Source organism: Homo sapiens, chromosome 7 (assembly GCF_000001405.40).
Source record: "Homo sapiens chromosome 7, GRCh38.p14 Primary Assembly".
NCBI lineage: Eukaryota > Metazoa > Chordata > Mammalia > Primates > Hominidae > Homo > Homo sapiens.
In genome coordinates, this window is record NC_000007.14 from 24,698,355 (window position 1) to 24,711,349 (window position 12,995).

A 12,995-nucleotide genomic window follows, 5' to 3' on the forward strand; every position below is an offset into this window, starting at 1 on the left:
CATAGTTCAAAGTTTCCTTTAATAGAATACCCAGAATACATAGGAAATCAACATGTGCTAGACATAGAATTAGTATGTTCACTGAAGCATGGCAAGGTCACATAAAATGCATATAGCTAGGGTCCCAAGCAGGGGTGTGTTACTGTTAGATTTTTTTGAAGTTTAATTTTGTTCAGCAGAGGAATATACTCTAGGAGCATTTACAGTTCATTTTCAGTCATCAAATAACATACATCACTTCCAAAACGTAGCCTCTTGTGTGCAGAGAAATTGCCTTCCCACAGCATTCACAATGTAAAAAGACCTTTTGGATTAAAGGGTCAGACTCTTTCTATGTAACAAAAAGTGGAATGCAAGTGACAGATGGACTTATTATTGTGCAGAAAAAACGTCTGAATGTATGCTAAGAATTCTCCGCCCTCCCAGCTCTTTACATGCTGGAACCTAACTCAGATGCTGGGTCACCAGCACAGGAGGGCCTCTGATAAGGAAAACTGTTTAAAGAGTACCTGGTGGCTAAAAGTCAGGTCATTCATCATGCAAAATGTCACCACTTCTTAAACTGTTCTGTAAATTCATTTCATTGGTCAACTTTTAACGTGCATATGACCTTTAACAGTTCTGAAAAATAGCCTTGGCCAGTAACACGTACTTCTAGTTCACATATGACATCATGAATGTTCTCTGCCTAAAGCACAGAGTCCATTCAGGGTTATACAAAGAAGCAGTGGGAAGACTTTAGAGTCCTTCAGAATGACAGCTTTCACAGATGACTTCAGTCTCTCCAGACTAATGTCAGCTGAGGCAAACAAGCGCTGCACAATCCCAAACCTTTCTGTATCTTTCAGGGGAGTCAAGGTTGGGTCTTCAAGATCAGATACTCCATCATCAGACAGAGCACGAAGCTGAAATGACACATTTAAACAAATTCACTTTTAAAATGTCCTAAAAAATCCACATTGGATAGTAATGCACTTGTAGGTAATTCTGGGGGAAAAAACTTTTTGAGATGGAGTCTTGCTCTGTCGTCCAGGCTGGAGTGCAGTGGCGTGATCTCGGCTCACTGCAACCTCCAGCTCCCAGGTTCAAGCGATTCTTTTGCCTCAGCCTCCCGAGTAGCTGGTACAGGTGTGCGCCACCATGCCCAGCTAATTTTTGTATTTTTAGTAGAGATGGGGTTTCACCGTGTTGGCCAGGCTGGTCTCAAATTCCTGACCTCAGGTGATCTGCCCACCTCGGCCTCCCAAAGTGCTGTGATTACAGACATGAGCCACCACGCCTGGCCAACTATGTCGTTTTTTAAATTTCCCCAAATAGAGCAGGAAAACCCTTGAGGTGTAACATGATATATTTGATCCAGGCCAGGACCTCAGGCCTGATTCTATCCAATTTGTCTAGTGTCCTCTGTCTGAATCCCTACTCTCCAAACTCTTTCTACTAGTCCCATTAACTCCAGTACATTAGAAAGGTTAGAATGTACTTTGGTCATATATGCAGTATGCTTAGTTTTTGTTTTACTGAAGATATTAGAACTTTCTTATATCTTTGCATGAACTCCTCAAAGGTAGGTACCATAGTTTAGTTTAATTATCCTTCCTGCCTCAAGAACCTTTTCCCTTGTTATTCCTTCTTCCAAATTTCCCTGTTGATCTCCCCTTCTCATCACTCAGTTGTCAGCTGAAATGCCACATTGAGGGCCTTTCCCAATCCCTTTCCATCTAGCTACCCCCAGCCCCAGAACTCAGCCTTATGTTACTCCATTATGTTGTATCCATAAACTTACTATATCTGAAGTAATCTGCTTGATAGTGTTTAGTCACCTTCCCTTATTTAACCCTAAGCTGCTCGTGAGAGCAGGGACCTTGTCTGCCGTGCCTACAACACAGACACTCAATGTGTTCTTCACCGAGGTCACTTTGGATGCTGCTCTAATTCCACTGCTCAACACATACTTGAAATATTTGATTTGCTTTTAGGGTCTTGATCTGTACCCGTAATATTTTACAAATCTTAAGCAATTACAAATTTACCAGTAGATTTCATTTTGAAACAGGCATTCAAGATCTGATTAATAATGTAAGTAGTAAAATTTTAAATTAAATTAAAAATGAAATAAGCCTAGAAAGTTTGCCTGAATTTTAAGAAATCTGAAGGGAATCCAAAAGAAAAAATTCCAGAAATTTCCTGAGCAGTGGTGACTATCTTGAAAGTCATGCAGCTTGTCCAGGTAGACTGAAGGGTAGCACTCACTGGAATGTAAAAGTACTTGTGGGTTTATTATCAAAATCAGCCTCACGAACCTTGTAGATTCGCCAAATACAACTCACACAATGTAACCACAGGCTTAACGTTACCATTAGGCTCAGACTGCAAACTATTGATTGTGCTTTAGAGAGTAGATTAGACCTGCTCTTTAAGCACAGCATCACACCCCAGTGAATTAAGGAGGAGCCCCACTGGCGCAGGCTGGAGACTGTCAACAGCATGGCAGGCTCCCTGTCCTTACCACCTGGTGGATGAGAGCTGTGCAGCATTCGGCTTTCTTTTCTAAATATCCACCACCCCCTTTGCCCACAGGCATTTCTAGGTATAAGGGGGAAACGGTGACCCAGAGGGTGGTGGAGTGAAGTTAACATTCTCTACTGATTCTAACTCACCCTTTCACCAGTTCTTGGAAATGTGTTAGTGTATCTGGCACTGTACTCCCAAAAGCCCTTCAGAAAGCCTCTCAAAGTTACCCTGGCTACTAGACAAGAAAAGACAGGGCTGCAGATGGATTTTGTGCCGTTTTAAGTAAATCCCTTAAAGAAACATGACGCTCAAATTCCTTCAGGAGGCAGACACCTCGATGTCTTAAATAGAGCTATTGCAAATCTGAGGGGAGGTATGTGAAGATACCCAGGAAGGTCTTTACAGAAAAAGGAGGTCTTTGACTATGTTGAGCAGTGCCAAAAGGCAGAATGTGCAGAAGCAGAATACCTTCCATTCTGAACTCCGAATGTGTTCTGGCTGCTGCTCTTAGAACACCAACAGAGCAGAACTTGGGGGTAATACAAATGTCCTAGAGCTGATCTGCAGGGAGGAGGACAGCTAAGTGTGAGTTTGTCACAGAAGGGGTTAGATAACAGTTAGATAACATGGGCTTGGCAGGATTTTCTTTTTATTTGCTTCAGTTGCAGTTGATGAATCTGTAAATACTTGGGAAGGACTAACTTAGTAAATGCTGAGCACTCAGTTGCTGCAAGAGGAGCTGAGATCTGAAAGCAGAGCTGTTGTTTTGCTCATCATTGCATACAATTAGAATAATGGCACGTATTGTTTCCATAACCAGACTGTGCCACCAGCCTTTACCCTCAGCTGGCCCAGGACACACATGCTGGCACATTTTCAAGTAGTTCCATTTTTGCAGTCAGTGGACAAGCATGCATGTTCCTCTGGGCCTGTGGAATCTTTCAGTTGTGATACCTGATCTGCTCCTTGGAATGATGCCATGCTGCATAGTCTTCTAATGTCTTTGCTATGCACAAAGGCACCAACCACATTACTCGGTGTTCCCAGAGTAGATGTATACCAAATGTCAGGGTCCTGTCTAGGCAGTCTGCCCCAATACCTGCTTCCCAGATCTGACAGCAGAGCTCTGAGAGATGATCCTTTGGGCCAACATAGCAGGTTGGCCTTGGACTTTAGTAATTAGGCCTTAAAATAATCAGACCGTGTGTGCTCAGCTCCTCTGCCCCAGGCTGAGCAACATCTGCAAAAGCTACACAAGACTAGCTGCCCCATCAGGGTGGCTTCAGGGCAACCTGTTGGTGGTTCTTTCTACTAATGGCTCAATCTATAATTTAAAAAGGAAAAGCTTAATCTTGACTCTCTAGGGCTAAGCTCATCATTACCTAACTCATGCTCTTAGAATGACATTTCCAGAGGGGGCACCAAGCTAACGATATTCCTGAAAGTGGATGAAAGAAGCTATGTCTCCCTGGGACAGATCAGTCCTGGATACCTCCCTGGCAAATCTGCTGCAGAGCTCAATCAAACCAGTCTTAGCACAAAACTGCCATTGCAAATAATATGGTGTCAGGCCCCTTTATTGTAATGTAACACCAAACCTTGGCCAAAATTCTCTCCAAACAATGGGAAAAGTATAAGAGTTGGAGTCGAAAGACAAGGATGAAGTCCTGGACCTGCTAACAAGTTATTTGGACAAATCATTTTCCTCTGGGTCTCAGTCTTCCCATGGGGTGGGATGTGTATAAAAGTGGGGTTAATAACAATACTTACTTAATGTGTCTTGAAGAGCTGTTGTGGTAAGTCCTAGAGGTGTTTTACCGGCTGCTGGATGTCTACCCCCTCATCATTTCCCCATTCCTATCCATTCTAAGGTCCCACCTGGGAGGTTGCTTACCAAGTGGCACAGTGTGGGAATGATCTGGAGTTTGCAGCAAGTGCCCAGCAGAGCTGCTGCGCTATCTGGCATTTCTGCAGGAGAGAAAAATCACAGTCACAGTCCAAAAAAACAAGTCCATGGGAACAGAGCCAGCCCCTGGATGGCACCTAACTTATATTTTAGTACTTTCCCGCCAGCCAGGCAGGGGAGGTACTCAGCAGTTGCTGAGTTAGTGAATGAATGGTGCTAAATGGGCAGCAAAGACCTTGTAGAAAACAGATGTAGGAACCCAGCTGCCAGCTCTGCATTCCACAGAGGATACTCCTTGACATTCAATTTACCAAATGGAAAGAACTGCCCAGACTCTGGGGGAAGGAAAGGAAACAGCATGGAAAAGCAGACCCTGCCATCTGGTGACAGAAGAGTGATGTTTGAGACCCTCCACACATTCAGGCTGCAGCCTCAGGTACACCTCTCTCAGCCTCAGTTTCCTCATTTACCATAGTTGTTTTGTTTTTGCATATGTCAGAATACTGTGTAAACTATAAAGGGCTCTACCCCATCACCAATCATTTTGGGGAGGAAAATGCAGTGTAGCTTTATCAGTGCAGCGTGGCCTGAGGCCAGGAGCAGCAACAGCAGAAAGTTGGAGCAGAGCTGTGCCAGGCTAGGGGCTGCACCAGAAGGGCCCTTGCCAAGCCCCAGGGAAGGGAATGCCAGATCAGTGTTATTCAAAGTGGATATTAAACACCTCCCAGGGAAAACACAGATACAGTTCTTAAAAGGACCATAGTCCCTTGGGGGTACAAGCTTTGAGCTGAAAAGGCAAAAAAGAATGAGTCACGTGCTGAATCAGGTAGCCGAGGGACTGGTTAGGAACTCAGTTGTTCCTGCCATGTGTTAGCAGCCTTATTTGTAAAGACAGTGTGTTGTTGAGGTGTGACCCAGAGAGTACATGGCTCGTTCTCAAGAGAGAGTGTAGGCTATTAAGGGGGTGGGGCAGCAGCCAGGGGGATGCTTCTTTCAGAGAACCTAATGTGGTATTCAAATGTGTATGCATTTGTCTGAAGAGAAGATCCACAGTTTCTCAAGTAGTCTCTTACCCCAAAGCAGGAAGGTGAAGACGGAAAGCCTATGTGGCCTAGCGTATCCAGCTGAGCCTCTGTCCCCAGCCATCTCATCTGCCATTACTGCCCTGCCTTCACTTTCCAGGGTGGCTCCTGGGACCCAGGTAACCATCATCCTCATCTCTTATTCTTGGAAATACCTGAGTCCCATATTACCCATTTAGCTGCTATCTTGAGTGTGGTACACTAGGTGCTAGGGGCACAGAAATGAAAGAACAGCATCTGCATTACCGAGCTTACCCACTAATTTTACTACTTGACTCTGATTTCCTGGAGGGCCAAGACTTGATATTTACCTAGCACTGCCTAAAACATAGTATAAGCTTGTTAAATGTTTCTTGAACTGAAATTATTTTGATTGCTCTTCCATGTACCAATTCTATTTTACAAATAGAGTCCAAGGAGTTGAGACCTTTGGAGTTGCTTAAGGTTACAAAATAGTGGAGGAAGCTTCCCAGGAGACAGGTCACATGTGGGACTGAAGTGCTGAAAACAGCTATTAGCCAGAAACTGGTGTGAGGACCTACGAAGACCCCATTTTCTATTCCAGCACTTTCCTCAGTTTTTAAGGAGAGAAGATTATATTAAGAGGAAAAAAAATGAACTCAGAAGGGCGGAGGATTAGCAAGAGCACAAATGGAAGGGCTGTATGCCAGCCTGGCCTCCACTGGGACTGACATATAAATGAGATCACAGTTCAGAAAAATAAAGGGCAGGATTGGTTGAAAAATTTAGACATTGCCAGCTGCACCTAAAGATTTCACTACCTCTGAGTTTCCAATTCAGAAACAGCAAGTCAGTCTCACATTATGTGTCAACTGCGTGGCCTGCTGCCTGCGTGCAAGCTTGCAGAGATTTTTTTTTTTTTCCAAGCTGGACTGCAATGGCGTCCATAGTTCACTGCATCCTTGAATTCCTGGGCTCAAGCAATCCTCCACAGCCCCTCAAGTAGCTGGGACTACAGAGGTACACACCACCATGCCTGGCTAATTTATTTTTTGTACAGATGAGGTCTTGCCATGTTCCCTAGGCTGGTCTTGAACTCCTGGGCTCAAGTGATCCTTCCACCTTACCCTCCCAAAACGCTAGGATTACAGATGGGGGCCACCACACCCAGCCAGTTGCAGAGAATTTGATGCTGTGTCTAGGCTCAAGTAGAAGGGGACTGTGGTGCTTTCATGATGCTGGCCCTGTGTTACCTACTTGGCATCACTGATCCAGGCTATTGATAGAAATGCTGCAATAAGTAATGGGGTATATGAAGAAAAGACCTCTCACAAGTCGGAGAACTCTGGCCTGTGTATTAGCTCCTGACAGAATGCCTGTTCTGAAAGACTCTAATACCCGGATGTTAACATTGGGAGAAAGTCTCTAGTGGAGTTCCGCAGGGCTCTGTCTTATGTCCTGTTTCAGTTTACCAGTCAAAACTATATTTATCCATGAGTTGGAACAAGACAGAGCATATATTTATCAGCACATAGAGTTGGGACAGGCATTCTCTCAGATTAATTCTTTAAAAACTGAAGATTACTGGGTCTGTTTCTGTGTGGTGCTAGGGAGGAACCCTGAATGTATCAGAAACTATGTGTCCTGACTAGTGTCACCATGAAGGGAAGCTGTGGGGACTGGTTTGCCACAACTGGCTTTTCTGAGAGGGAATAGGAAGCCCAGCTTCCTCGTGACAGGCACTGTGGCATGGCGAGTTCCGGATGGGAGGGGTACAGAGGTGGCAGAGATTGTTCCACAGTAACTGGATGGCTGCTCCCCTGGGAGGCCATTTCAGGACCAGTGCAGAAGCTGTGCATCTGGGCCCAGCCACAGCTCTGCCTCCCAGCCTAGTACATTGGATGGTTGAATGCTCTCCACAGCCCCCTTGCCCCAGACAGGAGCACGCAGGGTGGGGAATAACAAGTTTGCAAAGATCAGAAGGACTGAAATGCTGGAGGAGAGCAGTTGGCAAATGAAAGTTGCTGCCACTCAGCTCTGCTGGGACTCCGGAGTGAACCACAGCCTGTCAGGGAGATGCTTGCTTTTGTAGGCAAAGGGGCACCCACTGTGGCCTTCCCTGGGGGAGGAGGGAGAAGGGCCCTCCGGGAGAGTAGGGAGGCTTGTGCTGGATGGAAAGGCACAGACTCGAGACCGAAGGGGGGTTTCCCATCAGCCTCCCACCTCTTACCCTCCCTGTACCAGAAGGGAAGGACCTGTATGTACCATATCTTCCACAGTTACCACCTCTGTGTCCCCAGAAGCATAGATAGTAGGCAAAGCATTTTAAAGCAGCAGCAGCCATTTCTTTCATTTTCTTTTCTCCTTACCTGCGAGGGCACTGACCAAGAAGTAGGCTGTCATAAACAGCTGCTTGCTGCCTGCATCCTCGGGGCCCGGACACCCACCCTGTAAGCTGCACCCCACCAGCTGCAGGAAGGCCACAAGGTCCTGCTGCTGCCGGGGCTTCAGCTCCCCCAGCACCGCCACTGTGGGCGAGAGGCCGCTGACCAGGTCATCGCACTGTAGGGCAGGGAAGAAGAAGGGTCATGACACAGCTGGAGACCAAGCGCCACAGCTGGGGCCTCCGCTCACAGTACACACAAGCCCCAGCCCTTCCCACTCCCCCGAGGAAAGTACGACCCGCAGCTCTTCTCTACGTTCTGAAATTGCTAATCCTTGGTGGCTACATTTCACTGACGGGACAGTAAGCTGAACCTGGCCCACGAGGGTTGGGGGCGTACTTGCTGGAACTGTGGCATAGAACCTTCCAGGGCAGGGTCTGTTGGGTAGTGCCAGGGACCAGAAACAAGTGGTTACACACAGAACTGGGGAGGGCGATGTTCAAGCATCGTCTTGTCTTGGTTCTCATGCGTTAAGCTAGGCGCTCCAGCCCCCGGCCACATTCCCACCGGGCACTGGGCAGCTGCATCTGTCCCCACAGAGCCTGCTGTGGAGTGAGGCGACCCTGCTGGAGAGCCAGTTCGGACCACCCCGCCAATTCTGCACCACCCACAGCCTTGGTGTCCAGATCCGATCATCTGAAAGCTTGACCCCACCCTCGCCACCAGCCGGGCAGCTTGCTTCTCCAGCATTTGACAGGGCAGCTGAGGCTCTCTCCACAGGGTGCTGGCCTGACATTTTCCTCTTGGAAGAAGTTATTTTCGGAAGTAGAAGTCAATGGGCTTTTTAAAACACTGTTCTCCCTGGAGCTGAGCTCCCCACCCTCTAGAATGCAAATGTCCTGGGCTGTGGGACTGTTTCAATAACAGGTTCCATCACTGATACCCAGGCTCTTTCGGCACAATCTAATTTCAAGAGAGAAAAATAATATGAACACTTCCCTGGAAACCATAAAGCACTAAATCAGTTATTCAAACTCCCTGCATAATATAATAGAAAAACAAAAGAACAAAAAACAAAACTGTAGTCAAAATCAGGTTTATAAAGCCTCAGCCTTAAGAAAGGGAGGACACAGAATCTGGGTGGCTGGAGGGTTGGCAGCTTGTGTGGCTCTCACCATTTGTACAACTAAGAGTTAAGGAACTTGACCTCCCCAGGATATCCTTCTGCTGCAAAACACAACAGTGCAAAAGCCTATTTATTTCTCTGTTCTAAATGGAACAGGCTGACTTTATAGATTCCACCACACGACCCCCTTGCAGTAGTCTGAGTAGTGGCCCACCAACATATGTTACCTGGAACCTAAGAACGTGACCTTAGTCTTTGCAGATGTAATTAAAGTAAGGAAATCAAAATGAGATCATCCTAGATTGGGGTGGGCCCTAAATCCAATGATGGTGTCTTTATAACAGACAGTAAAGGAGAAGACACACACACACACACAGAGGGGAAGCCCACATGGAGACAGAGCAGAGGCTGGAGTGCTGCTGCCATGAGCCAGGAACACTAGGAGCCATCCGCAGCTGGAAGGAGACAAGGCAGCAGAATTCTCTCCTAGATCCTCTGGGGGAAGTGTGGCCCTGCAGACACCTAGACTTTGGACTTTTGGGCTCCAAAACTATGAGAGAATAAATTCCTGGTTTTTTAAGCCCTCAGGTTTGTTGAGGCAGCCCTAGGAAATTAACACCTCCCTCCACCCGATGCCAGCTACCTGTCTGCACTTAGAAAACGCAGGACCCAAGAGTCAGAAAAGAGACAGCTGTAGGGAGAAAAGGAGGCGGGGGAACCTTTAACACAATTCCATCCTGCCTCCTCCCCTGTTCCAGAAAACCCCAGTGAAAACACTGCCTTGAGATGTCTCAGGGCTCACCACTGGTTCCAGGACCATGAGTAGTTCATCATCAAATAGGACCGCCTGGAAGATGTCACTCAAAGCTGTCTGTTGTGGCTCAGGCAGCTCCGCAAATGGATGGAAATTCCTCTCCAGGAGCAGGGTCGCTGTGAAAACAAAGCACACCCAAGTCTCATGACTGCGATGCACATCTCACGACGTCGGACAGCAACTCCTGCTTTTTATACCTAATCGTCATCAGTTCTTTCATGGATATTCCCAGCTGCATAGTCAGTCATGGAACTCAGAAATAAACATCAAGTTACAAGCCACCCTGCATATTTTTCAATAACCAAAGGGAGGGAGGAGAGAGAGAGAAAGAGGGAAGCCAAGTTTTGTATTTCAAGCTTCACTCTTCTCTGATGACTCACTAAACATTAAGTCTAATCAATTATTTTCTGGAAAAGTTATTTAAATTCTTCTTTAGCATGACTTCTCTAGAAGTAAATTATCAAAGCTGAATTACTAAACAAGTCAGTGCTTTTACAATGCTTTAGAGCCATACAAATTCCAAAATACATTATTTTTCACGTCCTTTCTTGTAGTACATTGCAGATTTTCTATCCTTTAATATTTAATGCCCATTTTTAAAGGGGCTGGCACCCTATTTTCATGGCAAGCACAGCTATTCTTTCTCTATCCTTTGCTTCTTCATGAGTCCTCAAGCTGAGCACTGAGTCCCCGAAGCTATTGCCTCTGCAGGATGCTTAGGGGCCTCTCCCCTTAGAATCTCTTTTCCTTTCTTTGTTTTTTGGTTTTTTTGTTTGTTTGTTTGTTTTTAAGATACTCAGAAGCTTCTTGTAAATTAAGTCTAGTGGAGATTTTATTTTTAAAGATTTGATAAAGGTTTCGTATGCAGGGATGCACACTAATACATCAATGTACCACCCATGAGGATGGACGATTCCAACTAGCAGTTGTATAAAGCCCCACGCAGAGGAACACAGAACATCAGTAACCAACATATTTCAAAACTCTGCTATACACACAACTGTCTTTACCAGTCCCAGCCTGAAGAGAGAAGCTGTCCTGGTCGGTCCAGTCGCACACCCAGCTCCCACTGCACCCCTGCTGACCAGAATGGCCAACTCGAAGGGTGGGCCTGTGGGCAGGACAGAAGGAAGCTGCAGCACGGGACTGCCTTCTGCTACCCAGTGGCTGCAGGGCCATTTTGCTGTGGTTCTAACCCACAATGACAAAATCCTTCAAGTGGCAGCTGAAAATTGCACCCACTTATCCATCTCAAGGAAGCCAAGATAGGAAAGCCTTATATTAAAATTGGGCCTTTGTTGTCATTTCTTCAAATACGGACATTTTTGCTACAAAAGCATCCTGGTTTGGGACTCATCGAAGCTCCACAGATGTAGTCACCAGGGCTTCTGTGCTTACCCTCCAAGCCAGCGCGCACACGGAGCGGTTCCTAGCTCTTTGTGCTAAGCTCTCACCTATTTGTTTCTCCTTTTCCTTGCCCATCTCCTCCTATATGCTGCGCCCCCACATCCCCGACAAAAGAAACCAGCTTTCTAAAGCACAATACGCTGTGAGGAGCAAAAGGAATTGCTGCAGGCACATCCTGGGCATGGCCCCTCTTCCTCTTTGGCACCATGCAGTCCATGCCATGTGGATAAAGAGCCTCCAAGAGAGCATTTTGCAAGGCTGACAAAGCATTGCTTGTCTTGACAATGAAGCCCAGAATATAACAAAACAGATGCAGAACGGGTTCTCCATCCTCGCGGCTGATGAGCCATTCTTAGTAGTCAACAGGGCTTCTGTGCTTACAATGAAAGAAAAATGCCAAGCCCCTGACTGCCTCACTCTTCAGTCTCCGACCCCTACCCCATGGAGCGTCATTCTCCCCACCCTTCCTAAAATACAGCACCCACAACCTGGGGCTCCCTAAGATCCAACCGAGGTGAGTCCTGCCGAGTGGACTGGGCCTCGGCGGCATCACCTCTCTTCTCATATGTTTTCTGTGAGTCACTGAGGGGTCACTGATGCTGAAGGCCACACCACCTCTTGGGATACAGGGCTCAGTTGGCCCTCAACTGCCCACTACTCCTGCCCTGCTGGCAATACCTTGCTTTAAAACACTTAATGGTCCATCCTGGGAAGATATCCCATGCGCAGCATCTGGCATGTCTATGAATGCAAACTCTCGAAAGACCAGGGGGTCCAGGTAGACAGAGTCAATTCTCTTCTTGTTCTCGAAGCCACCTTGCTTCCCTCGGAGAAGGCAGAACTCTGTAGTGCAGGAGAAAAGGACAAGTTAGGTAAAGTTGAGTCTAAGGTGTGCCAACAAGTCTGGACAGGGTCAGCCCAGCCTTGATGGCACATCTTAGACGTAACTCAGTGGAGCAGAAGACCCATCCATCTTCCCCATAAAATTCGATCCCTACACACATTATGTTGCTTGACCAAAAGCCCAGCCACTTCCAACAAATAAGGAAATGGCTGTTCTTACATAAAGCTCCCTAATATATATTCTCTGAACAGGCTGGACACAATCTTTAAAACATTGGAAATATTATTTTATCCTGATTTGAACAAACTGATTCTAAACAGACAAATGAAACCTGACATGCACAAAACAACTAGGAAAATCTGAACACTGATAATATTTTAAAAGTATTGCCAGTATATTTAGGTGGCCAAGTAGTTATGTGATTATATTTTTAAGAAATCAATGTTTCTATAATATATAGAATAATATACAGCAATAAAAAATAAAATACTGATGTCTGCAGTTATATGAATGAATTTCACAAACATGTTGAGTGAAAAATGGCAAACACAAAAGAATACATTCTCTCTGAATCTGTTTCTACAAAGGCAAAGCTAGTCTTTTTTCAAAAGCCTTATCATTTCAAGGTACTAAAATATTTACAGATGAAACAATATAATGCCTAGGATTTGCTTCAAAATAATCCAGCAGGAGAGGAAGGAGATGGTGAAGTTATGGCTAAAACATGAATTGCCCTAGTCACTGAAGCTGGATGGTGGGCACATGGGAGCTCACTACATTATTATCTCTACTTTTTAACATGTGGGAAATGTCCATAATAAAAAGGTTTGTTTTTGGTTGTTTTGTTTTTGTTCTTTTTGAGACAGAGTCACTCTGTTGTCCAGGCTGGAGTGCAGTGGTGTAATCTCAGCTCACTACAACCTCCGTTTGCTGGAAGCGATTCTCCTGTCTCACCCTCCC

The 12,995-nt window shown here is 45.9% G+C and overlaps 1 protein-coding gene across 5 annotated transcripts in view, besides 2 other annotated features; it reads right to left on the reverse strand.

Annotated features, from left to right (window-relative positions):
* The window catches only part of GSDME (gasdermin E), a 97,185-nt gene continuing 84,190 nt past the window's right edge, over positions 1-12,995 (reverse strand). For all 5 annotated transcript variants that reach the window (XM_024446670.2, NM_001127454.2, NM_004403.3 and 2 more), the window contains 5 exons: positions 11,870-12,034; positions 9,773-9,900; positions 7,830-8,022; positions 4,406-4,479; positions 1-905 (listed from right to left, as the gene is read on the reverse strand). In XM_024446670.2, the coding sequence (XP_024302438.1) occupies positions 672-905; positions 4,406-4,479; positions 7,830-8,022; positions 9,773-9,900; positions 11,870-12,034 (794 nt within the window). In that variant the 3' untranslated portion in view covers positions 1-671. The remainder of the gene's footprint in view (positions 906-4,405; positions 4,480-7,829; positions 8,023-9,772; positions 9,901-11,869; positions 12,035-12,995) is intronic.
* Positions 3,436-3,730: a silencer, noted in NCBI's record as "tiled region #3197; HepG2 Repressive DNase matched - State 8:EnhW, and K562 Repressive non-DNase unmatched - State 23:Low". NCBI's record gives its function as "represses a minimal TATA promoter and a strong SV40 promoter by Sharpr-MPRA in HepG2 and K562 cells {active_cell/tissue: HepG2 | K562}" and the evidence as "EXISTENCE:reporter gene assay evidence [ECO:0000049][PMID:27701403]".
* Positions 6,565-6,734: a silencer, noted in NCBI's record as "fragment chr7:24744538-24744707 (GRCh37/hg19 assembly coordinates)". NCBI's record gives its function as "represses an EF-1alpha promoter that drives an FKBP-Casp9 reporter gene in an ReSE screen in HepG2 liver carcinoma cells {active_cell/tissue: HepG2}" and the evidence as "EXISTENCE:reporter gene assay evidence [ECO:0000049][PMID:32094911]".